At 38.1% G+C, this 22525-nt stretch overlaps 1 protein-coding gene across 5 annotated transcripts in view; it reads right to left on the bottom strand.

Moving 5' to 3' along the window:
- Positions 1–22525, bottom strand: part of FMN2 (formin 2) — a 383305-nt gene that overhangs the window by 29641 nt on the left and 331139 nt on the right. For all 5 annotated transcript variants that reach the window (NM_001305424.2, NM_020066.5, NM_001348094.2 and 2 more), the window contains one exon: positions 7337–7486. In NM_001305424.2, the coding sequence (NP_001292353.1) occupies positions 7337–7486 (150 nt within the window). The remainder of the gene's footprint in view (positions 1–7336; positions 7487–22525) is intronic.

Here is a 22525-nt window from a genome sequence, read left to right as displayed (position 1 = left end):
GAACATCCTTACCATCTACCCGGAATGCTCATACAGCACATTACACCCTCCCCACTGTGCCCCTTCATGGGGCTGTTCCCTTGAATTCTTTAGGTGTCCACAGCAATGCTGCCTCTTCAGAAAGGCCTCCTCTGACCAACCTCTCTAAATGAACCTCCTCCCGTTGGATTCTGCAAGATGACTCCCTGTTTATTTTCCTCATAGCACTGATTTCAGCTTGTAACTTAAATATGCGCTTACTTTTTGTTGTCTGTTTCTCTCATGAGAAGAGAAAAGATCCACATGGCCAGGAATGTTGCCTGGCATATAGTAGGGCATACATATCATAAAAAATTGTTGAATGCATTACTTACTGTCTTAATGTGTATGCGTTACTCCAATTCATGAATACAGCTAAATCTTCTCACACCCTCGGCCTCCATTGGCCACTATTTTGACTGTCCTGTTTGTCGACTCTTCTGCCAAACCTTTGGTTACAGAAAGTTGGCACTGAGAAGAGGATTTCTTTATGGGTCATTTTTCTAAAAATTGATGCCTGAATGAAAAGAGTGAATGGTTGGCCAAATTCATTTATCATGCAATGCAAGAATGCTACCTTGCAGTCCAAGAGGCAGTTTCACTTACGTATCCAGCAAGTACGTTATTCCATAAGAGTAAACTTTCCTTATCTCCATTCTTCAGATGTATTTTCAATTTCTTTGAAAATGGTCTCTTCCTTCTTAAACTTACTCCAATAATATCATACATAAATCTGAACATGTAGTTCACTTGAATACAAATCACTTGAATACAAATTACGGAAAAAGAAATGTTAACAAGGCACGAGGGGCTCGCCAATGTAACGCATAACCTTCTAAGGATAAACATTCAAATTATTTTCCTCTAATTACAGGTTTCAGCTGGGCTGAAACAAGACGTGACTGCCACATGCTTGTGCAATTAGAGAAGTAGCTATCCTTTCTCTTGGATCATCAAAGACTACCTGTCTCAAAGTAAAATAAACCAGTAAATTAAGTTAGACAATACTTTAAACATAACCCTTACTAATGTCATGATTTATTAAATTAAAATGTCTCAGGCCAACTAAAAATGAAATAATGATAGGCCACAATACACACTATGAGGCTGGGGGCCCAGTGGCCAGAGCCAGATCTTCTTGCCTAAAAGCCCTTAGCTCTCTGGACTGTCTGTGAAAATCCTACACTTGCTCCACGTTCTAGGTCAAAAGTCCTCTGGGCAGAATTCCTTAGTCCCTGCTCCTGGTTCCTCCCACTGCATGATACACCAACCAGTGCTATACTGCTAGCTCAAAGAAGAGGAGACCTTCATTTAACATACTTGAACGTCTCAGTGTCCAGTACGACTCCATATGGAATGAGTGAATAATCACAGGTAGCTTCACATGGTTATATAGCTGAACACTCATCCTGAAAACTGAGCGCAACTTACAACAGAGAAGTGATGTTGTTCTGGAAGCCTAACCCTCCTTTCCCAGGACCTAGACCATAGCCTCTCAATCAGGGTAAAAAAAAGACACACATTCTTAGTCAATCTGTATCTCTTTCTTTTAATTAATACAGCTCTTGTTATCCTAGCTCCACAGAGCCTCATTAGTGGCTAGGTGACAGTCATGCCAATGCCTTCCTGAAAATAAGAGATGAAGATTGCCTATTTCCTTACCCACTACAACTGTGCTCTGTGAGACCTTAGGGAGATGCTTGGTAGAATAAATGTTAGTCTCCCTTCCCATCTTCTGGTGAATACAGACAAATTGAAAAAAAAATTTTTTTTTTTGAGACTGAGTCTTGCTCTGTCACCCAGGCTGGAGTGCAGTGGCGTGATCTCAGCTCACTGCACCCTACGCCTCCCAGGTTCAAGCAATTCTTCTGCCTCAGCCTCCAGAGTAGCTGGGATTACAGGCATGCACCAACACGCCTGGCTAATTTTTGTATTTTTAGTGGAGACAGGGTTTCACCATGTTGGCCAGGCTGGTCTCGAACTCCTGACCTTGTGATCCACCCACCTTGGCCTCCCAAAGTGCTTGGCCTCCCAAAGTGCTGGCCTCCCAAAGTGCTCATTACAGGTATGAGCCACCATGCCTGGCCTACAAATTGAAATTTTAAAAAATGCATACTTGCACATGTTTTGTGTTGCTCAGTGATGACAAGTCTAGATTGTTTTTTCAAAAAAGGAGGATTTCTTATTAACAATTGTACATGTCTAGTTCCAAGTAGATGAAAAAATAATTTTTCTGATTCGTGACAAGATCACTTGATCTGTGTCTATTGTATCACCTAGTGTAGATATGGAGGGGTAGGTTACATGAACATTTTCAAACAAAAGTTCATCCTTGGACTCACAACCAAGATATTTTGTCTAACCAAGAATGTAACTGAGTCACAATAATACTTTGTGTTTACAGACTATGTTCTTAAGATGGTCAGTGTGCCTTAGCAATGTTATGTCACCTTGTAGGGAGCCATGACCAGGATACCATTTTTATTAAATGATGGAAAAACAGTATAGGCATTCAGAAGGTAGATACTGTGCTATATACTTCAAATACGTTATGTCATTTAGTCTACATGATAACACTGCAAGACTGTATTATCATTTCTCTTTTACAGATTAGGAAACTGACTCTTGAAAACTAATTGATTTTCTACGATTCTGGAGCCAGTAAGTGGCAGAGCTTAAAAATCCAAACACATTGACTAGAAAGACAGAAGCCCTATCCGACACGGATGTGTAGAAATTCACTATTTTGAGAAATATATCAACCAAATCACATGCGTCATCAGGATGAAGCAAGAAAATAGAGTTATTATTATCACTCTGTAATCAGACGCAAATTAGAAATAGTGGCATAAGAAAGATTAATACAGGATTTAAAACCTTAACGATATTTTTCAATCTATATACACCAAACTATTCCAAGGAAAATTCTATCAGAAAAATTTCAAGGACACCATTAACACCATCTTTCAGGTTATTTCTACCATGCTAAGACATTTTGCTAATCACATGGGTGATTTTAAAGGCTTAATAAATTAGGCCAGATTATTGTTTACTTTTTTGGGGAAACTGTTCTTCCTTCAAAAACACTGCTCTGAAGGGAACTGTTGATCATGGTAACACTCTTCTCTTGCTTCAGGATCAGGTTTGTGAACTGCTAAGCTAACCACGGTACCACCAGGGCTGATCCAGAGATGGACACAATTCATTTGGAGTTCCTCCCTGGTATTTTTGCAGATGGATATGGAAACTGCTCTGTCCTCCTGGGTTATGAGAATATAAGCCATGGCAGTGGCTGACAGCTAAGAAACAGCCTAGCTGGGAAGTTAAAGCTAAGCTACAGAGGGGTGGTGGGTTGGGAAGAAAGGGTGAGAGAAAGAAGAGGAAAAAGGAGGAGAAAGAATAGAGAGAGGACATTTGAAAAGACACATGGATCACGGAAGGGACAGGTACAGACACATGTGGCTGACTAACCACACTCACAGCAGGTAGAATTCTGCATTCAGGACTTCCACAAGTAAGTTCCACTCTTGCCCTTCTGAGGTTTGACTGTCTAAACAAATAAAATTTCTCTCTCTCTCTCTGTCTCTCTCTTTTTGCTTTGAGGTATTCAGAGCGGGGTTTTATTACCTACAATGATCAACTCAAGTTATGCAAGAAAACATGTTTATTACTTTACTAGGCTAAGTTCTTATTTCCATGTCTGTTCCAAAGGTAATGATGCAACAAGTCAGCAAATACTTATGGAGACACAAAGAGGGGAAAGGCAGTGTGGCTTGCTGAAAGTGAGAGCTATACCAGATATGAGGACACTAATCCCATATGAGGACCATACCAGATATGAGAGCTATACCATATATGAGGACACTAATCCAGATATGAGGACCAACACCGAGTGGTTAACTAAAAAAAAAAAAAAAAAAGACCAATATGCAAATATCAAAAAATTAATGGTATAAAATAGACGTATTGTTAGGCAGTATAAGATTAGCCATTGAAGAAAATAGGTTGATAGTAAATAGGATAGGAGTACAGAGGTGAGAAACAGGTTGGAGAACAGTATCCCATTTTAAGTATTTGTAATTCCACTTGAGGTTCTACTCACACTGATAGTAACTGTACAAGAAGTTTCACACTCTTAAATGACCACACTGGCATTTCCTATCCATGTCCCAGGGCATTCAAAACATTTTGGAAATACTTTTCCATTTAACTATAGAAAATATAAAGTTTACACCAGGCCAGGTGTGGTGGCTCACGCCTGTAATCCCAGCACATTGGGAGACTCAGGTGGGTGGATCATGAGGTCAAGAGATGGAGACCATCCTGGCCAACATGGTGAAACCCCATCTCTACTAAAAATACAAAAATTAGCCGGGCATGGAGGCGGGCACCTGTAGTCTCAGCTACTCAGGAGGCTGAGGCAGGAGAATCGCTTGAACCTGGGAGGCAGAGGTTGCAGTGAGCCAAGATCGCGCCACCGCACTCCAGTGTGGCGACAGAGTGAGACTATGTCTCAAAAAAAAAAAAAAAAAAAGTTTACACCAAAGCAGGGCATAGGTGTGCATTTGGGCAGTCAGATGTCAGATGGGGCGCCACCCTTAGAAGGGCTCTGTGGTTGCTTTAATGCTTTGCTGTCTTGAAATAATTTTTATACAAGAAATTGTGCATTTTCATTTTTCACTGTTTCCTAAGAAGTACATAGCTGGTCCCTCACTAAGGAAAGGAACAGAGTTGTTCTTCAAACAACTCCAACCAATGGTTTTCCTTTTCAAGCAAACTGGTTATCAATTGCCAAGAGGGTAATAGATTTTGCAAGTCAATGGGCAAAGCAGCGTTCTCATCTGCCACGTGTTCTTCCTTAGCCCTTTATTAAAAGCAAATGATTTAGAAAACTGAGAAGTCTGAAGTCAAGAGCACTTGTAAACTGCCAATTCGCAACACTGCTAACATGAATGTAAGTTCACCAAGTGTGAACCCAAAGCCCATCACATAGTTCTAGGACATGACAAGCACAGGATAAAGAACCAAAAAAAATGGATCTAGCTGATTTTATGAGATACTTAGAGAGTGAAGGAAAGCTCATTCTGGGCATGTCAGATGCACATAATGCCACCAAACAGTGGGTTGTTATTGATAATGTCATCTAGAAACAATTCTATCTCATGGAGCATGTGTTAGATGGGACTCTGAGGAGGCTGTCATGGGGCATGTATTAGATGGGGCTGTGAGGATGCTTAGGGAGCAAAGCATCTGAATTAGTCCATCTCAACATTTTCTCTGAGGAAGCATCTCACCAGCTTATATTCTGGTCTATGCTAGCAGAAGAAAGCGACAGGGAGGGTGTCCAGCATCCTGGCCTGGGACCTCCACGACAGGACCAAGCCATTCTCCGACAGCGATGCACTTGCTTACCTGATGTGCATCGGACCAGCTACTCCAAAGTGACAACGTCATCAGTCCCATCTTGCTGATGTCTAAAATCACACCATCTACACTCCATTGAGGACTCTAATCCTAGACATGATGAAAATAATCGCGCAAGGGGAAACACGACTCTTTTCATTTTGAACCTTAGTGTAAATAAGTTTCAAACCCTTTTCTAGGGGACCAGGTTTAGATTAGAGGTAAAAGGAGGAATGTAGGGACTTAGGGAAGGGCATGAAGGGAAGTTCTGTGTGACGTGCTAAAGTTAAAAAAAGAGTTTCCTCTTTACAATCTTCCAAACTGAGCAAGCCTGTTTTTGGTAAATATCACTTAATATATGACTTAGTCTGAAGGAAAAGAACAGTGATTCGCATACGCTTATTTTTAAGCAATTATCTCTTCTACCCCACCTGCATATAATGTAACTGAAAGCTCTCATATTTTACGTTACTGATGCATTTGGAAGCAGAATAAGCTCATTATCTTTAGCAGGCATGTTTAAAGGGTTTTCCTTCTGTTCAAACCATTTTCTTTTTCCACCTACTATTCACTGAGGATAGTTTCTTCTATGACAGACCTATGGAATCTAAGTAATTATTATAGGAGTAAGCGCAAGTCTGGCATGGTTTACAGGCTCTATAAATGTAACCAATTAATTCATCTAATTTAAGGAGGTATCAAAATTGAATTACAACTGAAAACCAGGTGGACAACCATGGTATCATGTGTAAGCAGACCAAAATGAAGACAATAAGCAGAAAACAGTGGAATTTTGTGAACAAAGTTTCTCAGGATGTAACTCTTTCTTTCTTTCTTTCTTTCTTTTTTTTTTTTGAGACAGCCTTGCTCTGTTGTCCAGGCTGAAGTTCAGTGGCATGATCTCGGCTCACTGCAACCTCCGCCTCCCAGGTTCAAGCGATTCTCCTGCCTCAGTCTCGCAAGTAGCTGGGATTACAGGTGCCCACCACAATGCCCGGCTAATTTTTGTACTTTTAGTACAGACAGGGTTTTGCCAAGTTTGCCAGGCTGGTCTTGAACTCCTGACCTCAAGTGATCTGCCTGCCTTGGCCTCTCAAAGTGCTGGGATTACAGGTGTGAGCCACTGATCCTGGCTCACAGGATGTAAGTTTTCTAAAGATCTAAAGCAAAGTTACTGTTAGTGATGTTAGGAAGTATACTAGTTAGTTTGGCATTATGGCTTGCTTTATAGTATAGATTACGTTTCCCTTTAGTTTCCCACTAGACGCAGCTATTTGGGGATGGCGCCCTGGGAGGGCTAGCCTTCTTCATTACTTAATATGTAATATGCCTCTATGGAATTTCATAATCACAGAGACTTTATTCCATATACTGAAGAGGGGACATTTCCCTTCCTGAAAAGATTTATTTTAGAAGGTATCACATAATTCTACAAGAATCTTGAAAGGTCTTTTAAAAAATTTTGACATCTGTGTTTCTTGGTGATATCTGGATGAACTTTTGATATGAGTGGTAAACTGACAATATCCCATGAATTGAGCAAACTATTCCTTTTACCCTTCTAGCCTTTGCTATCTGTTCTTTGAAGTGCGTGGGTCTGCCATTGCAGCAGGGTTGTTCCAGCCTTCTTACGTGGTCACTTTTACGTGGTTTCCTCATGATAGAAGTTGATTTACCCGACAGTGGTCCTGGCAAGCCAGCACCCTAGTTACTCTCTGTAGCATCCCAGCTTCTGTGCTGACTCTTCTTATTAAAACTCCAAATTTTGCCAAATGTCAGCATCCTCTTCAACTTGCTACCCCGGGTTGAGGGCCATCTAATTTTTTCTTCAGGCTACGAAAATTGGCAACCCAGTGGTGCCACACCTAATAAAACACCAGTTTTAAAATGCCATTGTGCAAATGAAAATACCTACCTCTCTTGTAGAAGAAGTTTGTTCTCTTTCTTCCAGAAGTCTTTAAAGTCAGAGCTGAATTCATGCCAGATACTGAAGAAAGCATTTGGGGACACCTCCTTCTCTCCAAGTTTTGGTTTCATGAAGAAATATGCCGTGGTCTCCAAAAAGCTGTCAAATCATACACACACAAAAGCATAAAAGCCATGATTACTTTCCAATATGGGATATTCTTTCTCTATCCAAATGCTGATTTTATTCATGCACAATTATTATTACCAAGAGGACTCAAGCTCTTCAAGCACCAACAGTAGCTCTCTTATGGTTTAAGGTTAAGAGTTTTGGATACAGACAGCAGCAACTGACGAGAATCCTCCACATACTAATAACTACCCCTTGACCAATTCTATTTCAAAATTAATCACTCTGTGTTGGACATACTCCAGAAATGAACTTGTCATCAAGATGAGACATATTGAAAGTGGCGGGCCTATACTTTCTTTCTAAACCCTAAACAAATGAAATATTAACCATGTGTCCCCAAACTAGTATGTAGTCCATATCTATATTATATTGCTTATACACTATTTGCCTTCCTACATTGTTAGAAGGAATAAAAGCAAGAGTCCCAGCCCGGCGCGGTGGCTCACGCCTGTAATCCCAGCACTTTGGGAGGCCAAGGTGGGTGGATCACGAGGTCAGGAGATCGAGACCATCCTGGCTAACACGGTGAAACCCTGTCTCTACTAAAATTACAAAGAAAAAAAAATTAGCCGGGCATGGTGGTGGGCACCTGTAGTCCCAGCTACTTGGGAGGCTGAGAGGCAGGAGAATGGCATGAACCCAGGAGGCACAGCTTGCAGTGAGCCGAGATTGCACCACTGCACTCCAGCCGGGGCAACAGAGCCAGACTCCGTCTCAAAAAAAAAAAAAAAAAAAGCAAGAGATGCTGACAAAGTCTCCTATCAGAGACTACAGTGCTATCATTGAGTAGAGACCAATATGGCAGCCAGGACTTTGACGGTAGATTGCTCAGGGCCAGTTTTCAGAAGGTGCCACTCAGAGGCTGCTTCATATTACAGCTATATGGAGCTCAGAAGAGTTTCAAAGTGGTTATTTGACAAAGAACATACCACTAGTAAATGGTAGGTTTCTGACTTCACAAAAGTCTTCCAGTCCCATGAGTGATGCCCTGAGAAGAATCCTGACCAATACAGTCGATAACGCGTGGCAAGAGAACTGGTTAGAGAAAGGTCAGAGATGCTGCAAAGGAGTGGCATGCAAATAAGCTTGTCTTTTCTTTCTTTCTCTGGCCTGGGGCCAGCACTATTTCTGCTCCACAAAAACTCAAGTTTGATCTACTCTGAAGTAGAAATATCAAAGGCAACTTGATTTTGCTCAGTGACAAAAGTATATATATACATATATAAACATACATACCCTAACATATACACTTACACATATCTCTGTGTGTATTCAGCTTGCCATAGCTGATTTGAAATGTCTATTATGAAAAACAGTTTGAGCATTAAAATATTGAGTTTTTTTTTTTTTTGAGACGGAGTCTCACACTGTCACCCAGGCTAGAGTGCAACAGCATGGTCTCAGCTCACTGCAACCTCCACTTCCCGGGTACAAGCGATTCTCCTGCCTCAGCCTCCCAAATAGCTGGGATTACAGGTGCCTGCCACCATGCCCGGCTAATTTTTTAAAATACTGAGATCTTTAAGGTGAGTTTGCTCAGGAGATAAAAGAGTCAGAGCATTCACACGTAAAAACAAACATTCACAGCTACTCTTGACTGTGGGTTACCAATGTATGACTAATCTGCTCTGTGTTTAAACTTGCCTATGGCTGTCTCTGAGCAGCAAGATTCCCAGGATATCAGCTTTTTAAGCTCTAGGCAGAGACGACAAGACTGATTTAATCAAATGTGTGGATCTCAGGTATTATGTTTTTCTCCTTAGTTAGCCTACTAGAAAAATGACAGAGTACAGTCAATTAAACCTGAGAAAGAGTCAGGCTGTGAAGTGCATACGCTATGTGAGGATCTGGCTGCCACGGGCTATGGTAATGACGTTAGAATGCACCTGGCGGAATGTGTTGATGGCATCAGAACTGCCCGGAGAGTAGATGGCAGAGAACACACAGAGTCTAAGACATATCTGGGTCATATTTTATTAAAACTGATAACATAAACACATACATGCCTTCTCGGAAAACTGGTCATTTTCCTTATATACCTAAAAAGAATGTATGACCTGTTAGGCTGAAGTTAGGTCTCAAGTCTTTTCTATCCATTTATTCATTTTCATCATTGCTCTGGTCTTTGAACTTCATAAAACTGATTATTTCAGAGCAAGCCCACCTGTTTGGGTAGCCATATGTAAGTCGCAATAGCTAGTTCACCCAGTCAGTTATCTTGCAACATTTTGAAAGTTTTATCACGAGGTAGTATGGTATCAAAAGCAAAGAATGTAAGATTTAGAATGAGAAGACATGGAATATTGAATCCTGCCTCTATGACCAGCTATATGAGCAAACCATTTAACATCATTGTGCCTCAGCTTTTCTACTGTAAAACAGAGATTATCATCAACAGTTGTTCTGAAGTCCAATGGGTAAAAATGAATTGCCAAAGTGTCTGTTGAATGTGTCAACACAAAACAAATGTATTTTATATTACATATGTTATATTACATATGCTATATATTTTATATTGCATATTAAATAAATATAAATATATATTTCCTAAAAGTATTCTCTAAATTATAACTAATTCAATTGGGGCTGATTTATTAACAGATTCTCATGTGATCATGTTCTCTGAAGATTTTTTTTTTTTTAGTTACCAGTAGGCACAAAAGCTTCTGATACTAGTGATAATTATTCTGATTATTCAATAATTTCTTCTTGGCTCTGTTATATAAAGCACATAGATTTAGGCAGTTAATTTAACTTCTGAGCCTCAGTTTTTTTCATCTGTAAGTGGTTGCTTTTCAAGGTTGTCATGAAGATTAAATAAAAGTACCTTGCAAGTTATAAACTGAAGTAGTAATATATGTATTCACTTTATAAGAGGCAAAAATTTTTCAATAAAAATGTTCTTTGCATAAAACTTTATGAACCTGTGAGCCAAATGAGTATCCAACAATTGATTTAAAGTCAAATGTGAACCTTATTATTGGCATGAGTCACAATAAAAAGAAACTTTCGCTGGTAGCTATTTCTTTGGATGTGGCCATGGTGAAAGAATAAGTGTACTTGAGTATGTGACGTAGAGTGTCCAGAAGAATTATCTGAGGATCACGAGTGCTGTCTCAGCTGTACACTAGTACTCCCTGAAAGAAAGTGTAAATACTTTAAAAAAAAAAACAAGCAGCCTGTAATCCCAGCATTTTGGGAGGCTGAGGCAGCGGATCACGAGGTCAGGAGATCGAGACCATCCTGGCTAACATGGTGAAACCCCGTCTCTACTAAAAATACAAAAAAAAAAAAAAAAATTAGCAGGGTGTGGTTGTGGGTGCCTGTAATCCCAGTTACTTGGGAGGCTGAGGCAGGAGAATGGCATGAACCCGGGAGGCGGAGCTTGCAGTGAGCTGAGATAGCGTCACTGCACTCCAGCCTGGGTGACAGAGCGAGACTCCATCTCAAAAAAACAAAAAACAAAAAAAAACAAAAAACAAAAAACAAAACAAAAAAAAACAAGCAAATAACAGGACAATAATTTCTACAGATTATCAAGGTATCTTTTATGCCAGAGGCATTTTTGGTTATGTAATCCTGTCCGGCATTAGGTAGCCCTCAGTGAATTCAAACTTGCATAACACGAAAGAGACCCACTTGGGTGGTGGGTGGGAGGGGTAAATTCCATCTTTTCTGAATTATTTCCTTCTTTTAAATCTGAAATCTGGAGGATCCCAGCCACCATATACCAATACAGGATTCACTACAAAAAGACAGACATCTTACCTAGGACCTTCCTTACTACACAGGCTTTTCTGTGAGACTCCCTCGAAATGACCCTGGCACATGAAGAGGTAGTAGTTAAAAGATGTTCAGTTATTTAAAAAAATGCATGATTATAATAACAGATAACTCCAGATGTCACTGAACAATCAACATCCCTGTGGTCTGGATTCTTAAATGGTCCTTTTTTGAAAAGATCAACACCACACGTCTTTTGTTACAAACATTAGACAGTACAAATATACTTCTCTGCAATGGAATCGAGGTACCTGCAGAGCTCTAAAATGATAGCTACAGAAGCAGGACCATTTCGGAATTTCTCTGAATCCCACACAAAAATGGAAAGAGCAACTAATATTAAAAATCAAAGCTAACAGACCTACAAAGACCTAGGTATCTAACGTCCCCAACGAAACTCAAAATTACAGCTAAGGACAAACTCCTCACGACATAAAACCCACCTGGTAACATCATCTGTATAGGAGGAAGCAGAGGGAAGCAACAGGAAATCTCTCCTAAAAGCAGGAAGAACCCTCAAATTACAAAAAGGTATTCCTGAAAAGGGTCAGGGCTAACCTGAGAACTGTGCTGAAACTGGAAGATGTTTTACACAATTGAATGCATGGAACAGAAGAAAGGATGTATAGTAACTTCTGAAAGGACTGGAAGCAGTCTGAGCTGTATGAACTCTTAGTACTGACCCAAGAGAAAACTCCCTTTTAGGGCTAAGCTCTGCGTTGAGAGAAAATGCTGAGAGTGGAATTCAAATTGTGCAGGAAAAACTCAAGAACAAAGAAAATAGAAAATGCAAGTAAAATGCACTTATCATTGTGCAAAAGAAACAAAAGAGGAAACTCTAGAGCACTAAAGTTAGAAATGTTTTCCTCGCGCATCTATTTCTCCTAACATTTCAGTAAAATTAATTCCAAATAAAAATAAGCAAGATGAAAATACTGCAGTGGAAAAAGCTACGTAAAAACACTAACCATAGCAAAGTTGGCCTGGTTTTATTATCTGAGTAGACTTCCAAGACAAAGAACATAACCAGGGTGTTATTTCATAATTATAAAAGCATCCACATTATCAAGAAGACATAACAATCATAAAGATACGCATCTAATGAAACAGTTTCAAAATTCATGAAGCAAAAATTGCAGGACTAAAAGGAAAAAGAGGAAAAATCATCATCGAATTGGATATTTTAACACCTCTTTCTCAGTAGTCAAGAGAACTAGATTAAAATATCACTAACGACACAGAAGAGTTGAATATTATTATCAAAAACTGACCCAGTTGGCATCTGTAGAACATTATGACCAATGGTAGAATATACACGAGAACATGAAATATTCAACATAGACCATATGCTGAGTCATAAAACAAGTCTCAGTAAATTTCAAACTGAAATTATACAGAGTAAGTTCCCTGAGCACAGTGGTATTAAATTATGAAGGAACAAAAATAATATCTAGGTAACATCCAATTTGGCAATTAAGCAAACCTGTGATAAATAACCCATGGATCAAAAAGAAATCCTAAAAGAAATGAAAAAACATTCCAAACTAAATAAAAATAAAAACAAAAAATATCAAAATATACGGGATACAAATAAAGCAAGTACTTAGAGAGAAATTGAACTTTAAAATGAATGTATTAAAAAGAAATGTGTAAAATCAGTTATTTAGACATCAAACTCAAGAAACTGTAAAGGAGCAAATTAAACCCAACTTAGTAGAAGAATAGAAATAATAAAAAAGAACACAAAACAAAGAAATAAAAACTAAATCTTACAGAAAATCAACTCAGTCAGAAGTTGGTTTATTGAAAAGCTTAATAAAATTGATAAACCCCTACCCAGACTGATGAAGAAAAAAAGAGAGAAAATACAAAATATCAATACTAGGGATGAAAGCAGTCATCTTTATAGATCATACTGGCTTAAAATGATAATGTGATGATGTTGTAAACAATTTTATGCCTGTAGATTTGACACCTTAAGTGAAATAAGCAAATTACTTAAACAACAGAACTTTCTAAAACTGACAAAAGAAACAGAAAATATAAGTACCCCTAAATCTAAGACAATTCAATTATTTTCCATAAATAGAAAATTATTTTTTATAAACTGGTAATCAAATTTATCTCCACACTCCAAATAATTCTGACCCTATTTGTTTCACAAGTGAATTAACAAACATTTGATGAAGAAATAAAGCCAATCTTACACTAACTCATCCAGAAAATAGAAGAGGGTATACTTCCCAACTCATTTTATGAAGCCAGCTTTACCCTGATGTTGATATGGAAAACTAAAAAAGATATTATGAAAGAAAAAAAATAAATGTATAGACAAATATCCCTCATGAGCATAAGCAAAAAAAAAAACCTTAATAAAACATCATCAAATCAAATGCAGCAATTTCTAAAGTGGATAATACATAACAAATTAGGGTTTACCCCCATAATACAATTTGGTGTTAACAGTGAAAGCAATCAGTGTAATTTGCCACATTTATAGAATAAAGAAAAATAAATATAATTTTAGTAAGTATAAAAAACATGGAAAAAAATCAACACCAGTTTATTATTACAAAAAGGAAAAACTCTTTGCAGGCTAATCCTAGAAGTAAACTTACACAATTTGATAAATACTATCTATGAAAAACCTACAGTTAACATACGCAATGGTATTTGATATTTTCTTTTTAGTTCAGAAATAAAACAAGGATGTCTGCTCTTCCCAATTCTATTCAACATTGTACTGAAATCTCTAGCCAGTCAATAGAGGAAAAAATTGGAAAGGAAGAAATAAAACATATATATGTGTGTATATATATGTATATATATATATATATATATAAAACATGGTTGTATACCCAGAAAACACTATGGAGTTTACAAACATAACAAAACCTGTTAGAACCAATAAGTGAATTTACTCAGAACTAAATAAGTGAACTTAATATTGATCCCATAAGATACAAGGTAGATATTTAAAAATCAATTGTATTTTTATACACCCTGGAAAAGACCACTGGGGAAAGACATGTTTTAAAGCAATATAATTTGTATTACTATTATAAAACATCAACTATCTAACAATAAATCAAATAAAAGTGTGAAAACTACAAACATTGTTGAGAGAATTTAAAGAAAGCTGAAATAACTGTAAAGGTATAATATATTCTTGGGCTGAAAGATTCAGTAATGTTAACATCCATTTGCCCCAAATTGTTCTATGGATTCAAGGCAATCCCAATCAAGAGTTTTTTTTTTTTTTAAAGGGACTGATATGCTGATTCTAAAATTTATGTAAAAATGTAAAGCATATGAAATAGCAAAAAAGAAATACATTTTTAAAAAAAAGAACATAGGTGAAGGACTTACATTGTCTGATTTCAAGAGTTATTATAAAGCTACATTAATAGAGTATGGTATTGGTATAAGGACCTGGAAGGAGATTTGCACATACAAGGTCATCTGAATTTTTACAAAAGGTGGCGAGCCAATTCAATGCGGGGGTAGGAAAGTTTTTTTTTTTTTTTTTTAATCAAATGGTGCTAGAACAATGGGGTATCTGTTTGGAAAAAAAATCCTTACTCCAATAAAAAAAAATAAGTATTTAGATGTAGAAGACAGAAACATAAGGCTTCTAAAAGAAAACATTAAAAAAGTCTTTACATCTTTGGGCCAAACAAAATTTATTACATAAGACACAAAAAGGACTAATCAAAAGAGAAAAAAAGTTGATAAATCAGACTTTAGCAAAGTAAAAATTCCTTTCATTTAAATATACCATTATGCCATTTCATACTCATAAGAGTTGGCTTAAATCAAAAAGACTTGATAAAGTCTCACATGTTGGGGAGAATGTAGAACAATTAAAATTTTCACACAGTGCTTTTGAGAGTGTAAAATGGCAAACCACTTTGGAGAAGTGTTTGACAATTCCTTATACATTTATACATATATGTATAAATTTATATATGTATAACATGACTCAGAAAACCTACCCTCGCCTATTAATTCCAAGGGAAATGAAACATGAATACAAACAGACTCATACAAGAATGTTCAGGCCGGGTGCAGTGGCTCACGCCTGTAATCCCAGCACTTTGGGAGGCCGAGGCGGGCGGATCATGAGGTCAGGAGATCCAGACCATCCTGACTAACATGGTGGAATCCCAACTCTACTAAAAAACACAAAACGTTAGCAGGGCACGGTGGTGGGCGCCTGTAGTCCCAGCTACTTGGGAGGCTGAGGCAGGAGAATGGCGTGGACCCGGGAGGCAGAGCTTGCAGTGAGCTGAGATCGCACCACTGCACTCCAGCCTGGGCGGCAGAGCGAGACTCTGCCTCAAAAAAAACAAAAAAAAAACAAAAAAAAACAAAAAAGGAATGTTCACAGCAGCCCTGCTAATAATAACCCCAAATTGGAAACCCAAATGTCCATGAACAGGGGAATGGATACACTGTGATCTATAAATATGATGAAATGCTACTTAACAATAAAAAGGAAGAAGTTGCTGATATATCAATATGAAGTTCCTCTAAAAAAATAAGTGACAAAAGCAGAGCCAAAATTATACACGCCATATGATTCCACTTATAAAAGTCCATGCATACACAAAATTAATCTATGTTGACTAATCAGAACAATGATCACCTCTTCAGAGAAGTGTGAAGTAAATACATTGGGAAACACAACTGTTTTAATATTTTGGTTTAAAAGAAACCACTGAAAGGAACACTTAAGATTTGTGCATTTTTAATGTTTACAAATTACGCCTCAACTAACCAAGAAAGGAGGAAGAAAAACAGAGAGAGAGAGAAAGAGAAGTGGGAAAGAAAGAACAATAAGGAGATGAAAAGACGGAATACAGGAGATTGCAAATGGTTCCTAAACAAACTTATTGAAAGAAAACAGGAGCAAAATAATGGCTCTGCAGACCAATGAGAGAAAGACATGTCTATCAAACAAACATGCCAGGAAGACGACATGTCTACTGAACAGATAAAGACTGTTGCCTAGTGTTTTAAAACAGGCTAAAAGATATTAATAAAATGATAAAGGCTATGAAAACAAAACTCAAAATTTTAAAAACTCAGACATAAGGTACAAGAACTTAGTAAAGAATCTGAAATTTAAAATGATCATCTCACACATGAAAACTGAATTAGAAGTAACACAAGAGTTAATAAGTACAACAGCTAATGTCTTAATGAAAACAGAAATAAAATAAGGAAAAGTTTTTAAATCAAAGAGAAATTTTAAAAAAAGATTTAAGAGAAAGTTGTAAGTATGGAAGACAAGAAATTCCTATATGTGTATTATAAAAGCCTCCTGTACTGAAGACAATCAAGGCAATGGAACAGAAACATCATAACAAAAATGATTCAAAATGTTAGTTTGACAGGAAAGATAAGTTCAAGAGCTCTATTATACAACACAGTAATAATAGTTAACAATATGTTGTATTCTTGTAAATTAATACAGTAGATTTAAAGTGTTCTCACTACAAAAGCTGGTAAGTATGTAAGGTAATGCATATGTTAACTAGCTCAATTTAGCCATTCCACAATGTATTAAAGATCCAGAGCTGCCTGGAGAAATGGCTCAATCCAGGTCTCGAGGAAAAAAACTGTTCAAAATGAACCTGGAGTGTCATATCCAAGAAGATAGCAGAGAAGGTCATGTCAAAAGGACTCAAGGTGAACTTAAAGATGGAACATTTTAGCCAGGTGCAGTGGCTCATGTCTGCAGTTGCAACACTTAAGGATGCCAAGGCAAGAGGATCACTTCAAGCCAGGAGTTTGAGACCAGCCTGAGCAACATAGCAAGACCTCATCTCTACACAAAATACAAAATTTGCCAGGTGTGGTGGTGTGCACCTGCCCAGCTACTTGGGAGGGTGGGGTGGGAGGATTGCTTGAGCCCAGGGGGTTAAGGTTGCAGTAAGCCATGATCTTACCATTGTACTCTCTAGCCTGGGCAACAGAGTGAAACTCTGTATTTAAAAAAAAAAAAAGGCGAAATGTTTTGGAGATCAGTAACAATAATAATTGCAAAAGAGTAAAACACATCAAATATGTTTAATTCTATGAGTTCATTACAACGCTTAAGGAAAAAAGAAGATTTCTTCATTTTTGGTGGAAGGTGCTAGCGACACCGCTCATTATTTTGAAAATTGGTAAACTAAAGGAAAGAATCCTGCATTTCCTGTATAAGAAACACACAATTGAATAACTCTATGCCAAATAAGGAAAAGTTTTTCTTTAAAGAAAAAGTATTTCACGGAATAACTGAGAACAAAATAAAAAGTCACCATTTTACAAATTATAAGGAGTTAAAACATATAGACACTGATTCCCAAAGGCTGGTGACATCACAAAAATGGACAACTGAATATGTCAGGCTTCCTCTTGGTAGAACACACCATACCACCTATAAAGTAATTTTGCCAAAATATTCAAACCTGAAGCTGATCGAGTATCTAGAGCTAACTACCTATCTAAAAGAAATACAAGACAGAGGATCGTGTGAAACTACAACACTGAGATAGAATCAGGAAAATCCATACTGTAGAGAAACTCTATAGAACAAATGATCTCATTTCTTCAACGAATCAATTTTAAGTAGAAAAAAGTGTCATAGGGGCACCTATTGTGAAAATGTAAGAGATATCATCTACTTATAATGGTTGGCGTTTCTCTATATCCTGCTCAAAACAAACTGTAACCAAAATAAAATCAGTTGTGGCCAGGTGCGGTGGCTCATGCCTGTAATCCCAGCACTTTGGGAGGCCGAGGCGGGCAGATCACAAGGTCAGGAGATGGAGACCATCCTGGCTAACACGGTGAAACCCCGTCTCTACTAAAAACACAAAAAATTAGCTGGGCGCGGTGGCGGGCGCCTGTAGTCCAAGCTACTCAGGAGGCTGAGGCAGGAGAATGGCGTGAACCCAGGAGGCGGAGCTTGCAGTGAGCCGAGATAGCACTACTGCACTCCAGCCTGGGAGACAGGCGAGACTCTGTCTCAAAAAAACAAAAACAAAAACAAAAAAAAAACCATATATATATATATATATATAAAATCAGTTGTAACATACATGAACTAATTGAATTTTTGAACAATGACTTGGTATTTGGTGATATTAGGGCCTAATCATTTTTTAGGAGTGAAACTGGTGGTGAATATGCTTTCTTTTAACAAGGGTATCTTGGGCCTGGCACGGTAGCTCACGCTTGCGATCCCAAGCACTTCGGGAGGCCAAGGCGGGTGGATCACCAGAGGTCAGGAGTTCAAGACCAGCCTGGCCAAGATAGTGAAACCCCATCTCTACTAAAAATATAAAAATTAGCCGGGCATGGTGGTGCGCACCTGTAATCCCAGCTACCTGGGAGGCTGAGGCAGGAGGAGAATTGCTTGAACCCGGGAGGCGGAGGATGCAGTGAGCCAAGATCATGCCATTGTACTCCATCCTGGGTGACAGAGCAAGACTGCATCTTAAAAATAAATAAATAAAATAAAAGGGTATCTTTTAGAGAAACATACTAAAATATATATGGATGAAATTATATCTGTTGGGGATTTCCTTCAAAAACAATATGGGAGGAGGCAAGCGGGTAGGGTTATAGAGGAAACCAAATTGACTACAAATTGATAGTTGTTGAAGTTGAGTGATGGATAAAATGGAGGGTCACTGTACTATTCTGTTCACCTTTGCACATATTTTAACTTTTCCATAATAGAGTAATATTTTTAAAAATCACAAGTGCATATACACACAACATTGGTACCACAAAGTAATAGCTATACACATCTTTTAAAATGGCATTCTAGAAATATTTTTAAGAGGGTAGAATATTGCTTTAAAGACTTCTACTGGATATTGTTTTTGACGATGACTTATGTTCCACAGATAATAAAAATAGACAGCTTTGATTTTTTTTACTTGAAAAGAGGCCATACCACAAACCGAGAACTATTTTATATTCTTTTCAACTTCTCATCTGTTTTTAAGGCAATTCTCTGTCTGGGAATTGTGCACATAAAGAATGACTCAAAATTTGGTTTTTATTACAACCAAAAGAGGTGCTAGTAATTATCCTAAAATAGCATTTTCTTGCCACAAGTTATGATCTCTTTGGAGAAGCATATTCTCTGCAAATGAAACACTATTTAAATAGCATACTGTGGTATTACCAATAGTTATTTCCCATCTATGAGCAGGATTTACTCTCGTTCAAGTATTATTTAAAATCTTGAATTAAAGTCCAGTAATTTTAGTGGTGTTTACTCTGTTGTAGTCTTAGAAGAGGGCACTACAGCTTTGCCCTTATTCATCAGGGAGCAGGTAGTAACTATATGCCAGGCACTACTCATGGCAGAGTGAAGACAAAGAAAAGTGTAAGCTCTGGTTGATGACTTTCTTGAAAAACATTCCTAATGGGTCAACAAATCAAAGAGTCAAGGTACAGAACAAAGCCATTCACCACGTTCTCCCTCAGGTTCACGTGCTGGCAGACATTACCATATGCTCTCAATCTTGGATCTCCTTCTCAACAGTTTCTCTGCTTACCAAATATATGCTTCAAGAAGGAGAAACCCTTTCCTGATCAGGGTAAACCCTTTCATGATCCTGTTCAGAAAATGATAAGCACTGTCTCATGTTTATTCTACGACAACCAGAAGCATATCTAAACAACCTAAGAGAGCACCTTTTGATGTGTGGCAGGTAGCTCCGGAAATGATTCTGAGTATAGAAAAAAAGAATGGATCCACAAAAGCAACTGGGGTGGGGGGAGTAAGCTAAAGATGAGCTGACTTTCAGAATCATAAGTGTTTTTACTTTACTTTTGGCTAGCTGATGCCAGAGAGGCTTCCCATTCCAACTAGAGCAGTAATATCCCATCTTTACCTACCGAGTTTTCGCTTCTGTCATTCTGGCCTCACAGAGCATGACGTTTTGATGCCATACTTGTTTTTCATCTGCCTGGAATGCTCTTCACCCAAGTGTCTCACGGCTCTCTCTCTCTCTCTCTCTCTCTCTCTCTCACCTCATTCAAATCCTTGCTTAGTGAGATCCTCATGAGAAGCCAAAGTAAAAGCTGAACACTTGGCCCAACCTTCCACAACAGCCACCCCTGAATATTCCTTCCTTTTCTCTACAGCACTGACCGCCATCAGAAACACAAGATATTTTCTATGTGTGATAACTATGGCTCTCCCTCCACTAGGATTTAACCTCTTTAAGGAATTTTTAGCATTTATGTTCATGGCTTTATTCTCAGGCACCTGAACAATGCTTGGCACACAGGAGTTGTTTGAAGAATGTTTACTTAAAGAATGACTGTCTCCTGAACAAGGGGCCTAGACATTTCTGGAGGCAAATTTTTTGACTACGTATTAGAAGCAGTCTATTAACCTCAAGCCATGTCTTCTGTGGACTTTGAATATGGATAACTAAGATTTAGTTCTGTCTCTAACCCAGAGTGGTGGAGCTTTGTCGACATAACTTTTTTGAGCTTTGTTCCCCATTTATAAAAGAATGACAGTACTTCCTACCCAATCAGACACCTGTGAGCATCCTTATGGGGATGCCAGGTCCACAGTAAGGTCTACGAGTGAAGGTTCTGTTATCAGTGTGGCAGCCAGAAATAAAAGAGCCTTCTTTAGCCATCCTGGTGTATTTGGAGTGTGATAAGACAAGGAATCTATTCTTCATACAGAGAAGTTAAGGAAAGCAATTCCTTTCCCTCATTCCCATATCCCCACATAATTATGAGATAACTCATGGCATTTATATAAATTAAAACTGATGTCAATATGTCTGGTTTCCAAGAGTACAGCAAGCCAGTGCCACAGTGACTTGATCACCCTTACCCATTTCTCCTTACTTATCTATAGAGTCTATCTCACTTGGCTCAGAAGAAAGTCTGCAGTAGCTACTGCCAAGAGAATTTCTCATTTTATTTATATGGAAATAAAAATATAATCTTTTTCCCTGGAATCACATAAAAGATGGACAATCAGAAATTATATCCTTTAGTTTTGACTCTTTCATATGACTCTATTTCATATTTCATGACATGTTGCTCATGTACACCTATGTATGTATACACAGACACAGAGCTTCCTGCCACCTGTTTAACAGACGTATCAGAATCAACAGTTAAGCAAAGAGACATGCTGAAAGAAATAAATTTGTTTAATTCAACCTCCCTTTCCTCCCACCACAAACATACCTGTAGTTATCAGTAAAACTAACATCACGATTCAGATCTGAGTTGTTTTTATGTTCTGTTGGGGTGTCCAAGCTTTGTGTAGACAGGAACAGATCATTTATTAATTTCCTCTCCCTCTATTGTGAATGCCAACCAGCCTTGGGACCAATGTCCTCCCTCCCTATCTCAACTGTCAATGCAGCAGTTCTGGCTATTTTGAGACACTGTGATGTTTATGTTGAAGGGTAGACATGAAGGGACTCGTGAGGTCTTTTCTTATGCACACATCTATGATTGGACTGGCCTTTTGGCGAGTCAGCAATTCAGTTCTGGCCCAATCTAAATACACCCTGGGGGTCTCTGCCTTTCTCTCTGGTTCTTCTGTGATGTTTTCCTCTACTTTCTTCTCCCAATATCATTGTCCTTTGGGAGTACAGCAAAAAAGGCTGAGTACCAAATGAGACTTTACAGGCAGAATGAGAATTGCACATGTATAACTTAATTTAATCCATATAGGCAGAACCAAGATCATAAAGCCTCTCAGTATGACAGACGAGGCCAAGAGAGCATACCAGTTTAAACGAACTGCAAAGGAACATCATCATAAATCTTCCATTGCTTTTGCGTTTTTTATTGTGCAGTGTTGGATTTTGTAATATTATTCTTCAGAACAAACTAAAATCTCAAGAGGAAGATCTATTTTCAGTTAAAGCCTTCCACAAGTAACTTTAATTTTTGGAATCCTAAATCATCGTCTTCATTTCCACCTCCTTCCCCCACCCTCCATAGGAACTTACATAAAGTGTAACAAATTTTATTACTCCAATAAGGAAGAATAAATCCCCTTTCACTTATTATTAAAAAAGCCTTTGAGGGATCCTCCATGTCTTCTAAAAAGCACAAAGATATTTTTATGCCAACACTCAGTTTGTTGCAGGCAATGAAAAAATCAGAGGAATTCAGAATGGTAAGAGGATAAACTGGCATTTCTTTTATCTTGAAATGAAGAACTGT

The sequence above is a fragment of the Homo sapiens genome, chromosome 1 (genome assembly GCF_000001405.40).
Source record: "Homo sapiens chromosome 1, GRCh38.p14 Primary Assembly".
Taxonomy (NCBI): Eukaryota; Metazoa; Chordata; class Mammalia; order Primates; family Hominidae; genus Homo; species Homo sapiens.
This window is presented reverse-complemented; position numbering and strand designations above follow the sequence as displayed.